This window comes from Homo sapiens, chromosome 13 (assembly GCF_000001405.40).
Source record: "Homo sapiens chromosome 13, GRCh38.p14 Primary Assembly".
NCBI lineage: Eukaryota > Metazoa > Chordata > Mammalia > Primates > Hominidae > Homo > Homo sapiens.
The window spans coordinates 55,568,306-55,586,544 of record NC_000013.11 but is presented as its reverse complement, the minus strand read 5'-3'; the positions used below and the strand labels follow the sequence as shown (position 1 = coordinate 55,586,544).

Below are 18,239 nucleotides of genomic sequence, written 5' to 3'. Positions count from 1 at the left end.
TTGATTGAGGGTTTCTCCCCTTCGTAGACCATATATGATAACTTTCTTATATTGCTATGGCATTTTTACACTGTCATGGCCCTGGTGGGAGTGTCTTTTAGCATGCTAATAAATTACAATTAGCATATAATGAGCAGTGAGGACAACCAGGGGTCACTCTCATTGCCATCTTGGTTTTGGGGTTTTATCCAGCTTCTTTACTGCAACCTGTTTTATCAGCAAGGTCCTTATGACGTGTACCTTGTGCCAACCTCCATGCTGTTCCTGTGACTTAGAATGCCTAACCTCCTGGGAATGCAGCCCAGGAGGTCTCAGCCTCATTTTACCCAGCTCCTATTCATGATGGAGTTGCTCTGGTTCAAACACCTCTGACAATTCCTGCACCCCCAATATATTGTAGAACTATTTATAATACCTAAGATATGGTAACAACCTAAATGTCCATCAAACGATGAAACATTTCTTTTAAAAAGGTGGTATATATACAAACTGGAATACAATTCAAACATAAAAAAGAATAAAATCCTCTCATTCACAGAAACATGGATCAGACTGGAGGACTTATATTAAGCAAAATAGGTCAGGCACAGAAAGACAAATATGCATGTTCTCATTCATACTTGAGAGCAAAACAAAAAACAAAACAAAACAAAAAACCCACTTGTCTTTATTGGAGGTTTTTTGCATATAAATCAATTTTAATTAACCTCAAGTGACTGCTGACTTGTAGATAAAAATAAAAGAGAAGCCCTCTACATGGTCTTGGTTTTATAAATAGGATAATAATTTTTTAAATAACTGTTAATTTAGTAGCTATCAAAATCATTATTCTGCCAAAAAAAAAAGCCTGATGTAATGAATGAAAACTTTTGTAGAACAAGTCTTTCTCTAATGAATAATTTTTTTTTTTTTTTTGAGATGGAATCTCACTCTGTCGGCCAGTCTGGAGTGCAGTAGCATGATCTCAGCTCACTGCAACCTCTGCCTCCTGGGTTCAAGCGATTCTTCTGCCTCCTGAGTAGCTGGGAATACAGGTGTGTGCCACCACACCTGGCTAATTTTTGTATGTTTAGCAGAGACATAGTTTCACCATATGGGCCAGGCTGGTCTCAAACTCCTGACCTCGTGATCTGCCCACCTCAGCCTCCCAAAGTGCTGGGATTACAGGCATGAACCACCACACCTGGCCTTCTAATGAATATTTTTATACAAGAGATCTTAAACACTCTGCAAGGCTTTTTCCTTCCCTCCCTCCCTCCCTTCCTTCCTTTCTTCCTTCCTCCCTCCCTCCTTCCTTTCTCAACTCAGAAGTGTTATCATATAAATAAAATAAATATAAGCAGTGTAATAGTATTATCTTCCACATCTCAAGGTTTAAGCCATTCTTGTAAAAATTAATGATAGAATAAGGCTTATTGTAAGAATCCAAATGTACTTATACAAGTGCTTATTTTCATACCACATCTTAATACATGTGTAGTGTCAAAAATGTTCTTCAGTCACAATCATAATTTTTATTGTAGACAAGAAGGTAATAGATTCTTCCATAGTGTCATATCAATGGCTTTTGAAAACCTAATAAACAGAGCTGGTTTCATCTCCGTGCCCTCTACTATGTTGAAGTAGAAAGATAATATGATTTACTGAAGGTATGCTAGGATGTCTTTGACAATTTTAACAACATTAGATTGTATCAACCAACTTTGATTTTGAGCTTTTTATGTATAAATCTTTTTGGCATGAACTATTCTTTATTTCATAAATATGAGATAAGTTTTAAACATGTACTGACTAAAATGTTACCCGCTCCTTCTTCAAACAAAATTATTGCTGAAAGTTTTTGTTATTCTCATTAGACTTTTTGCTTAATGGCCAAAGCAACCTTACCATTCCCCTCAGCTTGAACAAACTTTACGTTGTTTTTTTTTTTTTTTTTTTTCATGCATCTAGGCTTCTAACCTCTCTTTGCTTACAGTTTTTACTTTAGAAAGCTTGTAATTGTAAATTTTTCCTGTGCCCTTTGAGATATATGTAAATCTTTCTGAAAGCCTCTTGCCAGTTTTATAGCCAAGAATGTCTTTATCAAGGACCGTGGAGCCATTCTTTTGAAATGCAATCTTCATAGAAAATAGTATTCCTATATCTTTGTTTCTGTGGGAGGGAAGAAACCCTAAGTACAGTGAGTGCCTTGCTCCGTGTTCTAAAACCACCTCGTGTTATGAAGATAAGCAAAATATCTGCACATCTGACGTAACAGTCACTTCTTGAATTGACTTTTGTAGAGGAGAATTTCTTCCTGAAGATGTGTCTATGGTAATGACTGGGAAAGGTGCTTTAGCTTTGATTCTGGATGCATGCAGCAGTATAGTCTGTGATTTTTGGCTGTGAACAGCATAGTGGTATCAGTAATCTCTGCAGTGGTTGGCTACATTTTTTAGTGGAAGCTATGGTGAAAATTGTCAGGCCTCTGAGCCCAAGCCAAGCCATCGCATCCCCTGTGACTTGCACGTATATGCCCAGATGGCCTGAAGTAACTGAAGAATCACAAAAGAAGTGAATATGCCCTGCCCCACCTTAACTGATGACATTCCACCACAAAAGAAGTGTAAATGGCCGGTCCTTGCCTTAAGTGATGATATTACCTTGTGAAAGTCCTTTTCCTGGCTCATCCTGGCTCAAAAAGCACCCCCACTGAGCACCTTGCGACCCCCCACTCCTGCCTGCCAGAAAACAACCCCCCTTTGACTGTAATTTTCCTTTACCTACCCAAATCCTATAAAATGGCCCCACCCCTATCTCCCTTTGCTGACTCTCTTTTCGGACTCAGCCCACCTGCACCCAGGTGATTAAAAGCTTTATTGCTCACACAAAGCCTGTTTGGTGGTCTCTTCACATGGACGTGCATGAAATTTGGTGCCGTGACTCAGATCGGGGGACCTCCCTTGGGAGATCAATCCCCTGTCCTCCTGTTGTTTGCTCCATGAGAAAGATCCACCTACGACCTCAGGTCCTCAGACTGACCAGCCCAAGGAACATCTCACCAATTTTAAATCAGGTAAGCGGCCTCTTCTTACTCTCTTCTCCAACCTCTCTCACTGTCCCTCAACCATTTTCTCCTTTCCACTCTTCAATCTCTCCCTTCTCTTAATTTCAATTCCCTTCATTTTCTGGGAGAGACAAAGGAGACACGTTTTATCCGTGGACCCAAAACTCCAGCACCGGTCACGGACTAGGAAGGCAGACTTCCCTTGGTGTTTAATCATTGCAAGGACACCTCTCTGATTATTCATCCACATTTCAAAGGTGTCAGACCACGCAGGGATGCCTGCCGTGGTCCTTCACCCTTAGCGACAAGTCCCGCTTTTCTGGGAAAGGGGCAAGTACCCCAACCCCTTCTCTCCTTGTCTCTACCCCTTCTCTGCTTTTCTGGGGGAGGGGCAAGTACCCCTCAACCCCTTCTCCTTCAACCTTAGTGGCAAGTCCCGCTTTTCTGGGGGAGGGGCAAGTACCCCTCAACCCCTTCTCCTTCACTCTTAGTGGCAAGTCCCACTTTTCTAGAGGAGGGGGCAAGTACCCCAACCTCATATCTCTGTGCTCCAATCCCTTATTTCCATGCCGCGACCCCTTATTTCCGTGCCCCGACCCCTTATTTCCATGCCCCGACCCCTTATTTCCATGCCCCATCCCTTATTTCTATGCCTCAACCTCTTATCTCTGTGCCCCAACCCCTTTTCCCACTTTTCTGGAAGGTAAGAACCCCCAAACCCCTTCCCTCCATTTCTCTACTCTCTCTTTTCTCTAGGCTTGCTTCCTTCACTATAGGCAACTTTCCACCCTCCATTCCTCCTTCTACTCCCTTGGCCTGTGTTCTCAAAAACTTAAAACCTCTTCAACTCACATCTGACCTAAAACCTAAATGCCTTATTTTCTTCTGCAATGCCGCTTGACCCCAGTACAAACTTGACAGTAGTTCCAAATAGCCAGAAAATGGCACTTTGAATTTTTCCATCCTGCAAGATCTAAATAATTCTTGTCATAAAATAGGTAAACGGTCTGAGGTGCCTGACGTCCAGGCATTCTTTTACACATTAGTCACTTCCTAGTCTCTGTGCCCAGTGCAACTCGTCCCAAATCTTCCTTCTTTCCCTCCCACCTGTCCCCTCAGTACCAACCCCAAGCATTGCTGAGTCTTTCTAATCTTCCTTTTCTGCAGACCCATCTGACCTCTCCCTTCCTCCCCAGGCTGCTCCTTGCCAGGCTGAGCTAGGTCCCAATTCTTCCTCAGCCTCTGCTCCTCCATGCTATAATCTTTTTATCACCTCCCCTCCTCACACTGGGTCCTGCTTACAGTTTCGTTACGTGACTAGCCCTCCCCATCCTGCCCAGCAATTTACTCTTAAAAAAGTGGCTGGAGCTAAAGGCATAGTCAAGGTTAATGCTCCTTTTTCTTTATCCCAAATCAGATAGGGTTTAGGCTCTTTTTCATCAAATATAAAAACCCAGCCCAGTTCATGACTTGTTTGGCAACAACCCTGAGACACTTTACAGCCCTAGACCCTAAAACGTCAAAAGGCCGTCTTATTCTCAAAATACATTTTATTACCCAATCTGCTCCCGACATTAAATAAAACTCCAAAAATTAAATTCCGGCCCTCAAACCCCACAACAGGATTTAATTAACCTCGCCTTCAAGGTGTATAATAATAGAAAATAGTTGCAATTCCTTGCCTCCACTGTGAGACAAACCCCAGCCACATCTCCAGCACACAAGAACTTCCAAACGCCTGAACCGCAGCGGCCACGCGTTCCTCCAGAACCTCCTCCCACAGGAGCTTGCTACATGTGCCGGGAATCTGGCCACTGGGCCAAGGAATGCCTGCAGCCCAGGATTCCTCCTAAGCCGCGTCCCATCTGTGTGGGACCCCACTGAAAATCGGACTGTTCAACTCACCTGGCAGCCACTCCCAGAGCCCCTGGAACTCTGGCCCAAGCCTCTCTGACTGACTCCTTCCCAGATCTTCTCGGCTTAGCGGCTGAAGACTGACACTGCCGGATCACCTCGGAAGCCCCCTAGAACGTCACTGACGCCGAGCTTCAGGTAACTCTCACAGTGGAAGGTAAGCCCGTCCCCTTCTTAATCAATACGGAGGCTACCCACTCCACATTACCCTCTTTTCAAGGGCCTGTTTCCCTTGCCTCCATAACTGTTGTGGGTATTGATGGCCAAGCTTCTAAACCTCTTAAAACTCCCCAACTCTGGTGCCAACTTAGACAATACTCTTTTAAGCACTCCTTTGTAGTTATCCCCACCTGCCCAGTTCCCTGATTAGGCTGAGACACTTTAACTAAATTATCTGCTTCCCTGACTATTCCTGGACTACAGCTGTATCTCATTGCCGCCCTTCTTCCCAATCCAAAGCCTCCTTTGCGTCCTCCTCTTGTATTCCCCCACCTTAACCCACAAGTATAAGATACCTCTACTCCCTCCTTGGGGACTGATCATGCACCCCTTACCATCTCATTAAAACCTAATCACCCTTACCCCACTCAACGCCAATATCCCATCCCGCAGCATGCTTTAAAAAGATTAAAGCCTGTTATCACTCGCCTGCTACAGCATAGTCTTTTAAAGCCTATAAACTCTCCTTACAATTCCCCCATTTTACCTGTCCTAAAACCAGACAAGCCTTACAAGTTAGTTCAGGACCTGCACATTATCAATCAAATTGTTTTGCCTATCCACCCTGTGGTGCCCAACCCGTACACTCTTTTGTCCTGAATACCTTCCTCCACAACTCACTATTCCCTGCTTGATCTTAAAGACGCTTTTTTCACTATTCCCCTGCACCCCTCGTCCCAGCCTCTCTTTGCTTTCATTTGGACTGACCTTGACACCATCAAGCTCAGCAAACTACCTAGGCTGTACTGCCGCAAAGCTTCACAGACAGCCCCCATTACTTCAATCAAGCCCAAATTTCTTCCTCATCTGTTACCTATCTCGGCATAATTCTCATAAAAACACACGTGCTCTCCCTGCCAATCGTGTCTGACTGATCTCTCAAACCCCAGCACCTCCTACAAAACAACAACTCCTTTCCTTCCTAGGCATGGTTAGCGCAGTCAGAATTCTTACACAAGAGCCAGGACCACACCCTGTAGCCTTTCTGTCCAAACAACTTGACCTTACTGTTTTAGCCTAGCCCTCATGTCTGCATGCAGTGGCTGCCGCTGCTTTAATACTTTTAGAGGCCCTCAAAATCACAAACTATGCTCAACTCACTCTCTACAGTTCTCATAACTTCCAAAATCTATTTTCTTCCTCATACCTGACGCATATACTTTCTGCTTCCCGGCTCCTTCAGCTGTACACTCTTTGTTGAGTCTCCCACAATTACTGTTGTTCCTGGCCCAGACTTCAATCCGGCCTCCCACATTATTCCTGATACCACACCTGACCCCCATGACTGTATCTCTCTGATCCACCTGACATTCACCCCATTTCCCCAAATTTCCTTCTTTCCTGTTCCTCACCCTGATCACGCTTGATTTATTGATGGCGGTTCCACCAGGCCTAATCGCCACACACCAGCAAAGGCAGTTTATACTATAGTACAAGCCACTAGCCTGCCTCTTAGAACATCTCATTTCCTTTCCATCATGGGAATCTATCCTCAAGGAAATAACTTCTCAGTGTTCCATCTGCTATTCTACTACTCCTCAGGGATTATTCAGGCCTCCTCCCTTCCCTACACATCAAGCTCAAGGATTTGCCCCACCCAGGACTGGCAAATTAGCTTTACTCAACATGCCCTGAGACCGATAACTAAAAAAACCTCTTAGTCTAGGTAGATACTTTCACTGGATAGGTAGAGGCCTTTCCTACAGGTCTGAGAAGGCCCCCGCAGTCATTTCTTCCATTCTGTCAGACATAATTCCTCAGTTTAGCCTTCCCACCTCAATACAGTCTGATAACAGACGAGCCTTTATTAGTCAAATCAGCCAAGCAGTTTTTCAGGCTCTTAGTATTCAGTGAAACCTTTATATCCCTTATGGTCCTCCGTCTTCAAGAAAAGTAGAATGGACTAAAGGTCTTTTAAAAACACACCTCACCAAGCTCAGCCACCAACTTAAAAAGGACTGGACAATACTTTTACCACTTTCCCTTCTCAGAATTCAGGCCTGTCCTCGGAATGCTACAGGGTACAGCCCATTTAAGCTCCTGTATAGATGCTCCTTTTTATTAGGCCCCAGTCTCATTCCAGACACCAGACCAACTTAGACTGTGCCCCAAAAAAACTTGTCATCCCTACTATCTTCTGTCTAGTCATACTCCTATTCACCATTCTCAACGACTCATACATGCCTTGCTCTGGTTTACACTGCCGGTTTACACTGTTTTTCCAAGCCATCACAGCTGATATCTCCTGGTGCTATCCCCAAACTGTCACTTTTAACTCTTGAAGTAAATAAATAATCTTTGCTGGCAGGACTATGCCGAATCTCCTTAAGCACTCTCTAATCAGATATCCTGAGTCGTCCCAATTCTCAGACCTTTTATACCTGTTTTTCTCCTTCTGTTATTCCATTTAGTTTCTCAATTCATCCAAAACCGTATCTAGGCCATCACCAATCACTCTATATGACAAATGTTTCTTCTAACATCCCCACAATATCACCCCTTACCACAAGACCTCCCTTCAGCTTAATCTCTCCCACTCTAGGTTCCCACGCCGCCCCTAATCCCGCTTGAAGCAGCCCTGAGAAACATCGTCCATTCTCTCTCCATATCACCCCCCAAAAATTTTCGCTGCCCCAACACTTCAACACTTTTTTGTTTTATTTTTCTTATTAATATAAGAAGGCAGGAATGTCAGGCCTCTGAGCCCGAGCCAAGCCATCACGTCCCCTGTGACTTGCACATATACGCCCAGGTGGCCTAAAGTAACTGAAGAATCACAAAAGAAGTGAAAATGCCCTGCCCCACCTTAACTGATGACATTCCACCACAAAAGAAGTGTAAATGGCTGGTCCTTGCCTTAAGTGATGACATTACCTTGTGAAAGTCCTTTTCCTGGCTCATCCTGGTTCAAAAAGCACCCCCACTGAGCACCTTGCAACCCCCACTCCTGCCTGCCAGAGAACAACCCCCCTTTGACTGTAATTTTCCTTTACCTACCCAAATCCTATAAAACGGCCCCACCCCTATCTCCCTTTGCTGACTCTCTTTTCGGACTCAGCCCACCTGCACCCAGGTGATTAAAAGCTTTATTGCTCACACAAAGCCTGTTTGGTGGTCTCTTCACAGGGACACGCATGAAAAAAATGTGCTGGGAACAGGAGATACCAGGTAGTTCTGCCCTCAGGGCCCACTCATGGCAGGTAGTGGTAAGCCAAGCATTCTGGACCTTGGGCCACCAGGTGGCATATGCAAGCACAGTTTTAGTGAGTGCAGGTGGGCAAATTCTTGAGACTCCAGGCAGTCTTCCTGTATGCTGGCAGTGGGAGTGGTAAGCCAGATCCGTGGGTGAGTCCTTAGGCCCTTAAGCCGAATGTATGGCCTGGATTATGGTAGTAGTGATGGCAGGATAATTTTGGGGCTCTCATGTGGCACTCACTAATGTTAGCTGTTGGTATGATGGGCTGAGCAAGCTGGTCCCCAGGTTCCTTGGTTGTGCATGTGCATGGATGTAGTTGATGGTATTGATGACAGGCTATATGGGCTCACCTTCAGGATTCCAGAAGTAGGGTACAGATGCTAGAGGTGGTAGAAGGGGTTGGGTAATCCCCAGGTCCCTGGGAGGGGTGCTCATGCTTTGGGTGGGGGAAGCAATGGTGACAGGTCTGGTGGGCCTGATCTCAGGGCATCAGGGTGTGCAGAGCTCCAGGAGGTAGTAGGCAGGGCAGGCAGTCTGTGGTGTTGGTTGTGGAGAGCCTGACCTCTGGGCTGGTGCTAGAGTGTGGTGATCCTGCTGTTGAGTATGGGTGGGGTTGCTATCAGTGGTCCCCTGCAGGGAGCTCTCAGGTTCTGAGGGGTGTACACTTTCAACTCTGGCAGTAGCAGTGTCCACAGTGGTGTGTGTGAAGAGCCTGCACTCATGACATGCACTAGAGCACAGAGGCCATGCTTTTGAAGGGGGCAGGGTTGCTATTCAGAGCCCCAAACAGGCACTTCTCAGTTTCTGGGTAGTGTTTGCTTTGTCTCCTGGCTGCAGTCAGTGACTGCTATCATGTTCAAAGGGGTCAGATGGATCCTGCCTTTCTGGGTGTGAACTCAAGCACAGAGGCTGTGTTGTTGGTGGGAATGGGGTTACTATTTGCATCCTCAGACAGGCAGCTGTCAGGCTCACTCACTTTGGCTCCCCGTGGCAGCAGCACTATTGTGATATGCAGAAAGGGGAAGGGATCCATTTTCACATGAGCCCAAGTACTGAGAACATACTGCTAATAGGGATGTGGTTACTGTTTACATACCCAGACTCTCAGATTTAAGGTTTGCTTGCTTTGGCTTTCAGAGGCAGCAGTGGCTGCAGCAGTGTGGAGAGTTGGGGAAGGGATCTTGACCTCTGTGCATAAGCTAGAGCACAAAGGCCATGCTGCTAGTTAGGGCAGGGTGGTTCCCTGCCCTAATGGTACCAGGTACCATTGGTATCATTATACCAGGCAGGGAGCTCTTGGGTTCTGCCAAGCACATGCACTGGTTCCCTTTGTCTCAGGAGAAGCCTCCTTGATGTACTGCGCTATCATTTCCTTGAGGAGTTGTACTCCCTGTGGGTTAGAGTGCTGGGGACCCCACAACACCATCGGGTCCAGCCACCATTGTGCCACTGAAGCCCTCCAGGTGGATGCCAGGGAATTCTACTGGGGGTTCACAGGGTGTGAAGATGTGGAATTGTTGGTTCTCAGAAGAGGATGCAGTCTGGTGGAAGCTGGACTCTGGCCATAGTGCCCTACTGCAGCTGCTTATGTCTTGCTATGTGATGTGGTGCAAGTTTCCCGCTTGCAGCAATGCCCTGGCAGGCCTCTAGATCACCACGCTGTAGAGTCCCCACCTATGCTAATCTCAGAGCTGTATAGATGGAAGAGGTCTCCTGTGGTTAGGATTGCAGTAGTCTAAGGTAAGACTGTGTACCCCTAACGGCTCACACTGACCCTTTCCCTATAATAGGGAGCCGTTCCAGGATCCCAGCTGGTCCTGGCTGAGCTAGCTGCTAGCTTCCTCTCCTTCTGTGCCTCAGGTGTTTCCTGTGACTTCTCTCTTAAACTCTAGTGTTCTTTCCTAGATAAATTCTGTTCAATTCTATTCAGTGTGTGATTATCTATTAACAGTTTTACTTCTTTCTGGGGAGGAAGAGTGTCTGATGTCTCTAGTTAGCATCTTAAAACCTCTCTCCAATATGTGGTTCTATTGTCCACATGTCTGCTATCCTATAGGAAGATGCTCTGACATTTGTCTTTATTTTGATATCCCTCATGAGTTTTTGAAGTGGTTTTATAAAGTCATATCAAGGAATGGATATAGACAAAAAAGGAAATGCTATTTTTAATTGATTGATAGAATAATTATTGAAATACATTCTTCTTAAAATGGAACTTTAAGGGCATCTTAGCATGTGTCAAGAAACAAATAAGAGGGAGAACAGGGGGAGGGTGATGAGGAGATGTTAGTCAATGGATAAAAAATTTCAGTTAGATGAGAAGAATAAGTTCTATTGTAAAATATAGTGACTATAGTTAATGACAATGTATTGTACTTTTCAAAATTACTAAGAGTAGATTTTAAGTGTTTTCATCATAAATAAATGGTAAGTATGTGCGGTAATACACTATTAATTACCTCAATTTAGCCATTTCACTATGTATATATTTCAAAACAGCCTGTTGTAGAAATATATATAATTTTTGTCTATTAAAAATAAATTAAAAATAGAAACAAATGAGCAGTTAGTTGAAAAGAAACTAAACATCCTCATGAGATAGTAACTAAGTTTATGACTCAGCAGGAGCATTTTATTTTTTATAAATGCACCTTTGGTTAACAAAGAAAGCAAAAAGAACACTGATATTAACATGTAAATGAAAAATTAGCATAAAAAGTTGATATTTCTTCAAATTTTCCTGAGGTGATTTTTATCTGTTCTAAGACTTACAATTATTTGATAAGACTTTTAAAATTACTTACTAAATGCAATTTTAATATGTAAAAGTAATTTTTCAGCAAAATATTAACATATATTAAAGAGATAAAATACACTGATTAGTTTCTCAGTTTATCATTTTGTCACTTTGGAAGTAAGGCTATATTCACGTACTATGTGCTAGCCATTTGTAGGGAAATGCTAACAAATGACCACCTGAGTAATTTTCAGTTGTCTCAACTTTTAAACAAAAATTGGAGAACTTATAAAATGGCACAGAGGATTTGTTAAAAATACAGCATTCAAGTATTATACATATTAGGTCCTAAATACAGTTAATTTATGATGGCGCAATTTCATTATATAAATGGTAGTCCTGAATGGAATATGTTATATCCACTTATGTACAAATTATATATTTTCTCATGTAATTAAAGAAAGTTAATCACAGTGTATATCACTTGCAAATGGGTTAAAACAAACGGGGACTTCATGTGTAATGAATATAGCCAAGTATAATATTCAAATAAATTTTATAACAACATATGTAATAATATGCTGCTAATGTTCTTTTTATGTTTTTAAAGGTTTTCTTTGTTTTATTAATATAAAAATGATTAAATATACCCAGGCAACTTATGAAATTATACATTTTTGTAAAAAGTGTTTACAGGTAAAAAATGACTGGGAAAAGTTGATCTAGATAAGAAAATTATATAGTGGTAAAATATTACTTGAGTATTTTCTGTGTAAAGTGTTATGGTTTTATTTTCATTGTTGTAATTGTGTGTAATCCACACAATTTTTTTCTGGCATTAGAAAGGCAGAGATTACAACGAATGTGACAATGATTACTTGCTAGAGTGTTCGCTGATGAGATATAAATAGGTTCTATGTTGGAAGTACAGCTGCAGAGGAGATCAATAAAATTGTTGTATGGAATTTGTAATACAAATTAATTTGTACCAATGGTCACATTAATTATTCTATTTAACACATTCAAATATATTCTATTTCAGTAGTGTGCCTCTGTAACATTCTCAACACAAAAATACAACTTTGAACAATATCTTGCCTTTTCATATTTTATATTAAAACAGAATAACATTGTTCTGCCGTTTTGACCCTTCCAAGATTTCTCACAGATAACTGAGAGGATTGAGAAACAGCTAGGTTCCGAGTAAAAAGGGTTTAATGAATGTTGCAGTAGGGTAATTTTCATGGAAATGACATTTTTTTGAAGCCTAGAAAATGTAACAAAAAGAGAAAAGGAAACAGCCTATCTTCATGCTGATGACAATGTTTATAATGAGCCTGAATAATAGAAATTTAACCAGCTCCTGAAGTATTATAATCTGCTTTTGATTTCTATGGGAACTTTGCAAGTAGATATAGGTATAACAAAAGAGATTTTATTTGAAACTCTTCAATTAAACTAAGAATTGATAGAAAACAGTTCATATTTTATATTGAGTTAACCATGTATATGATCATTACTAATGAGGCAAATCTTTTGATACCTTCATATTCCATTCTCAAATAGAGAACAATAAATGTAATATTTTTCAGACAATTCTCTCTCACAACATGTTCTCACTCTCCATCTGTATGTACATGTGTATGTATATATGTATTTTTGCACAGATAGATGTACAGATAGACATACCACTCTTAGAAGAGGCAGTGGTGTTGGGAGACTGAGGAAGGCTAATTCATACAAACTATGTGTCTGGGAGAAACATGTAATATTTCAAACATTTCCAAAAGTTAAAATCTTTTACTGGCATGTATTTCAGAATATTATTAATAATTATTAGGTTGTATTAAGAAGCTTGAGATATGCTGAGTTTTTAAGTAATTGTTTTTGCTCAGCAAAGAGATTTTCCTGAATTTCCTAAATTTAAAACCTATGTTTCATTGTCAATTTTTTTTCAGGCATTATGTATTATGATAGATAAGCTGAAGCATGTTAATTTGTGCTCCAGATTAAAAAGTCTCAGTGCTACAGATTAAAGTGTCCCAGTTGATATGATAACATTCTTTAAATCATCTTTAGCTAGTACTACACACACAAACACACATACTATATTGTATTCAAAGGTGAAAATCCTTGTATCTTAAACTAAAATAAAAATAAAGAATTTTGTTGTCATAAAAGCCTGTATCCCAGTGTTTAAGGCACTCACCTGCTGTGCAAGACATCTCTTTTGGACATGTCCTATTATTAAAAGCCTTCATAAGGCTTTAAAGACTAAGAAAAGATCAATCAGTTTCATTTTTGTTTTTCAGTAAGCAGAGAAACGATTGGAAGCTCTAGTCCATCAGTGTGCTGTTGACACTAAGCCCAACATTGCCTTTGATCAGATGATGTTTTGCCAGCCTTTTTTGTGTCTTACTTTTAGGGACGTGGATTAAAACAAACTGCCCAACTTTCAGTCCAAACAAGAAAGAACCCTGATAGGCAGGAGGAATCATCTGGAGCATGTTAAAGAGCAGTCTTTCTCAGTTATTTTTTAGTCTTTGCTACTGATTCCTATAGTCTAATACTTGATTATTCACAGTACTTATCAATTAACACCACTGGTTAAAACGCAGTTTTATGACTTATGATTTCCATGTAGATTTGAAAGAAAACCCAGAGGAGTAACACTAAGAATATTGTGTTCTGCCAATTAAAAACAAAATATCTAATCAGAAAATTAATAGCCTCAGAATTTGATATCCAGGAGAAGAATTGGGAGATCCTGCTATGTTTTGCTCTGAGGGTCAAGTGAAAACAATAAAATGTAAGCCTTTGACTCAGTATGTGAGTTGATGATAAAGAGTGGACTGTGCTATGAATTTTGTACTGAAATGCTCTGAAATATGTTTACTGAGATCTAATTCTCTCTCACTTTTTCTCTACTCTTATTTGAATCACTGGATGCAAGGGATTACTTGTTTTCTTCATTTTCTCTCTCACTTTTTCCTCTGTCATGTAAAAATAATGATTGGGTAACTGCAAATACAAACTCACCTTTGTTGGCTCCTTTGCCTCTTCTTGGTAACTGTAAATGACTTATATTCTGATTCTTACTTGGCTATTACTATAATTGTGACTTTGAGTAAAAAACTTAACCTTAAAAACTTAGTTTTACCATTTGAAGAATGAAAAATTAGATAAGATGATGCCCAGTGACTCTTTGCCTCACATTTTAGTACAGTTTATTCATTTCTGTTTGATTTCATATGATGTCTCTTTGTGTGACTTTTTACAAAGAAACTACTAAGACTTTGAAATTGGATTGAAATTAAAGACAATTTCAATCCAGTCTTCTCCAGCCCATACTCTTGAGAAGATTTAGATGATTACAAAATGTTGGTTTTTCACTGACCAAGATGGCCTCAATGTTTCCCTTAGCTGGCCTGCTCTTTATACTGACCTTTTCCTAACTATGGAGTCCATCCATCTTTTCATTAGAAGATTTACTTTAGTAAACTTGCAAGAGTAAATTCTTTATCTGCCTTTTTCAAATGCATGTAAGTTTTCTTTCAGCCTCTTGCTACTTTGATAATCCAAAAAATGCTTTTTTCAAGTACATGGAAACCATTTCTTTGAAATGTGAACATCTAAGGAAAAACATCTGTATTAGTCTTTTTTCAAGTTGCTGATAAAGACTGAGAAATTTACAAAAGAAAGAGGTTTAATGGACTCACTGTTTCATGTGGCTGGGGATGCCTTAGTCAAGTTGAAATGTATGTCTCACATGGCAGCAGATGAGATGAGAGCTTGCTCAGGGAAACTCCCCTTTATAAAACCATCAGATCTCATGAGACTTATTCACTATCATGAGAACAGCATGGGAAAGACCTGCCTCCATGATTCAATTACTTCCCACCGGGTCCCTTCCACAACACATTGGAATTGTGGGAGCTACATTTCAAGATAAGATTTGGATAGGGACACAGCCAAACCATATCAGCATCCTTATCTCCCAGTCCCGGTGGACACCACTTAGTAAACACAGATGGCCAAATTGCAGAGAAAACCATTTTCAAAATGAGCAATAACTCAGTGTACTTCACCTATCCCATTGATTAACCTCTCTAAATTCTCTAGTACTTTCCCACAAGTTCACCCTAGTGCTTTACCTCCCACTCCCCCAAAACTTCATTTCAACAGTATTAAGTCCAATCTGTCTTCTCTACTGCTGTAGCCTGAATAAAGTCTAATTTGCCCATTTAAGTTTGAAGCAATTTTTGCTTCAATACCCTTTATCTTTGTGTGAAAATTTTGCCTGGTCTTGGAAGACTGGGGAAAAAGCTATTCTTATTTTTTCAGTTATTGCCTCAAGCATCTGTCTTCAAATTTCTAGAAAATCCTTTTTGTATACCCTGTACTCATATTCCCAAATTTTGGTCACTTTTGTTTTTGAATACTGCCATTACCTCCATCCTTATTAGGTGAAACATTGTTACTCTATCAAATTCTTGATCAAACAATGCCTACACCATGAAATATGATTTTCCTTATTTCTTTACTTAGAAATGATCTTCCATTGTCTGAATTCCTATTGTATATTTTATACTTCCTTCATGACTTAGCATTATGTCCTTTATATGCATAAGTATAAATATAACTATAACTTTTACATTATATGATCAGTGTTATTTAGATTTTTTAAATTAATGATTTTGGTTTTATGTTTGTGTCTTTCTTTTGCAAGAGCCTAACTTATTTTTATACCAGTGGTTCTCAAAGTGTTATTGTGAGAATCTCTTAGAAAAGCATATTCGGGGATCTAGCTCAATAGTCCAGTATCAAAAACTCTGGGGTGAGGCCCTGCAATGTGTATGTTAACAAGCCATTCAGGTGATTTTCATATATGTGGAGTTTGAGAACTATTGTTTATTTTTCTCACTGTCTTGCACTTCATAAGAGATAAAAGTGTTTCTAAATACAGAAAATGTATTCAAACATTCAAACATATCCAAGCAACATACATATGTATTTCACTTAAAATTAATGTTTATTTTAATTATATTATTTTTTTCTAGAAAACTCACTTGTTCTCTAGAATATGTATTATAGCTCAAAGTGTCACTAAAGATCATCTAACAATCAGTTTTCATTTTTGTAAATGAAGTGAGGATATACTGGGAGAAATTGAATAAAACATGATGTACTCTAATAAATTACATTGAGATTGAAATTTTTATTTTCCAAAGCCCAGTCCAACGTAATTTTAAAACAACATATTGTGGTTAATGTGTGGTTATTTCACTCTAAATATTAGATCCCCACTCTCCAACAGAATTTTTTGTAATAATAAAAATTTTCTACATCTTAATAGTCTCAAAATAATTGGACACTTGAAATGTGGCTAGTGCAACCACAACAAAAATCAACTCTTAATTTGATTTAATTTTAAATAATTAAATTTAAACAGCCACAATTGAATATTGGTTACTATCTAAGTGTAATTCTGGAGTTTTTAGATAATATATTAACAAAATGTACTAAAGTTGATCCAATATATATAATTAATTTTAATAATTATGTAATTATAAAACAAAGCATATTTGATTTTTAAAAAATTCTCCTCCCTTATTAGATAATAATTTACAGGCAAAATAATTATTATCAAGAGATAATATTGATAAGGACTTGTGCTGGGTTAATTAACTTCTTCAACTAATTAAACTTCATGTTACTACCAGCTAGAAGACAGGGACAATAGAGAAACCAAGAGAGAAGAGGTGCCAGAATTCTATTCTACTCTAAGTAATAACCTGGATTTATTATTACAATTAGCTAAGGTAGTCACTTATATGGAGTCAAATGGGAATAAAGTGAGTAGAGATATTATGGTATATTATAAATAGTATAATAGAATATGTATTATTTTAAAATGCTAGCTAAAAAACTTTACTAAAACTTAATTGCTATTTGTTGGAATATATATTTATATATTTTTAAGGTCTATCAAGGAGCTGTAATACTTATACAGAATATTGGTTTCATCAAGGTAGTTGACATGATGACACATCTGAAACCATTTTAGAGTAATATGGCCAGAGAAATGGTTTAAACACATAATTTTGCAGGAAGTCTTTAATTTTTCCAAATAAAGTGCTAAATACAGTAAAATATTTGAGAGAGGCAGAAATCAGAGCTCTTCCAGTTGAAGAGAATGAAGTTCTCCCCATTTAGTGTTCCTTGGTTTCATCTCCTAACACCCTAGAGGCTTCAAAATCTCAGATATAATTTGAAAAATCTCATGGCAATAATTTAGTTTACATGTCTATTTGAATTCAGGTTTAAGAGTGATTTTTTTTTAAATTTCATCAAATTTTAGGAAGTACCTTCTGCCTCTCCTACCATTTTCATCTTGACAGAAAATATCTTTATTTGCTTTTCAGGTTACTCAATCCCAGGGGAAATACTTAATTCCCTAACGACAAAATCACCAAACAGAATTGTCTTTTAAAACTATAAAAACAGTGAAAAGCCATTTTTTAAATAAATAAAGTTTTATTGCAACATAGTCACATTTATTCATTTATATACCATCCATGGCTGGTTTTGACTGTGAAGATAGTATTTAATGTCTGTAACAGAAATCTTTATGCCGACAGGAATAAACCACTTACCATCTGTCTGTTTAAAAATAATAATAGTAATAATAATAATAACAAAGTTTGCCAATACCTGGTCTCAACTAAAAAATACAAAGTGCAAATTAAATGAAGAATTTTAGCTACCCACATTTTGACAGGTCAGTAGGTTAAAGACAGGTCAAAACATACGCAGCAGTTAAACTGAAAAACATATTAAAATTTTGGTTATCTCTAAAGTCAATATGATTCAAATATTGTAATGTCCCCATTCAAAATGCACAGATAATTTAAAAATTATATTACTTTGATTAACTTTCTCAATCAAGAAAGCCTCCTTTGGTAGAGACCAGGGGTTGGCAAGCTAAAGGCTGGAGGGCCAAATCTGGTTTGCAGCCTGTTTTTATACAGCCTTTAAGCCATATAAAACATTTTAAAAGATTATACAGAATACAAACAAAGAATATATTACAGAAACTGCATATGACTGGCAAAAAGCTAAAATGT

At 39.3% G+C, this 18,239-nt stretch overlaps 4 annotated features.

The window, feature by feature from the left end:
* Positions 2,398-2,927: an enhancer, noted in NCBI's record as "OCT4-NANOG-H3K27ac-H3K4me1 hESC enhancer chr13:56157753-56158282 (GRCh37/hg19 assembly coordinates)". NCBI's record gives its function as "activates a minimal SCP1, AML or CMV promoter by ChIP-STARR-seq in naive and primed H9 embryonic stem cells {active_cell/tissue: H9 hESC(naive and primed)}" and the evidence as "EXISTENCE:reporter gene assay evidence [ECO:0000049][PMID:30033119]".
* Positions 7,698-8,227: an enhancer, noted in NCBI's record as "OCT4-NANOG-H3K27ac hESC enhancer chr13:56152453-56152982 (GRCh37/hg19 assembly coordinates)". NCBI's record gives its function as "activates a minimal SCP1, AML or CMV promoter by ChIP-STARR-seq in naive H9 embryonic stem cells {active_cell/tissue: H9 hESC(naive)}" and the evidence as "EXISTENCE:reporter gene assay evidence [ECO:0000049][PMID:30033119]".
* Positions 8,758-9,287: an enhancer, noted in NCBI's record as "H3K27ac-H3K4me1 hESC enhancer chr13:56151393-56151922 (GRCh37/hg19 assembly coordinates)". NCBI's record gives its function as "activates a minimal SCP1, AML or CMV promoter by ChIP-STARR-seq in primed H9 embryonic stem cells {active_cell/tissue: H9 hESC(primed)}" and the evidence as "EXISTENCE:reporter gene assay evidence [ECO:0000049][PMID:30033119]".
* Positions 9,818-10,347: an enhancer, noted in NCBI's record as "H3K27ac hESC enhancer chr13:56150333-56150862 (GRCh37/hg19 assembly coordinates)". NCBI's record gives its function as "activates a minimal SCP1, AML or CMV promoter by ChIP-STARR-seq in primed H9 embryonic stem cells {active_cell/tissue: H9 hESC(primed)}" and the evidence as "EXISTENCE:reporter gene assay evidence [ECO:0000049][PMID:30033119]".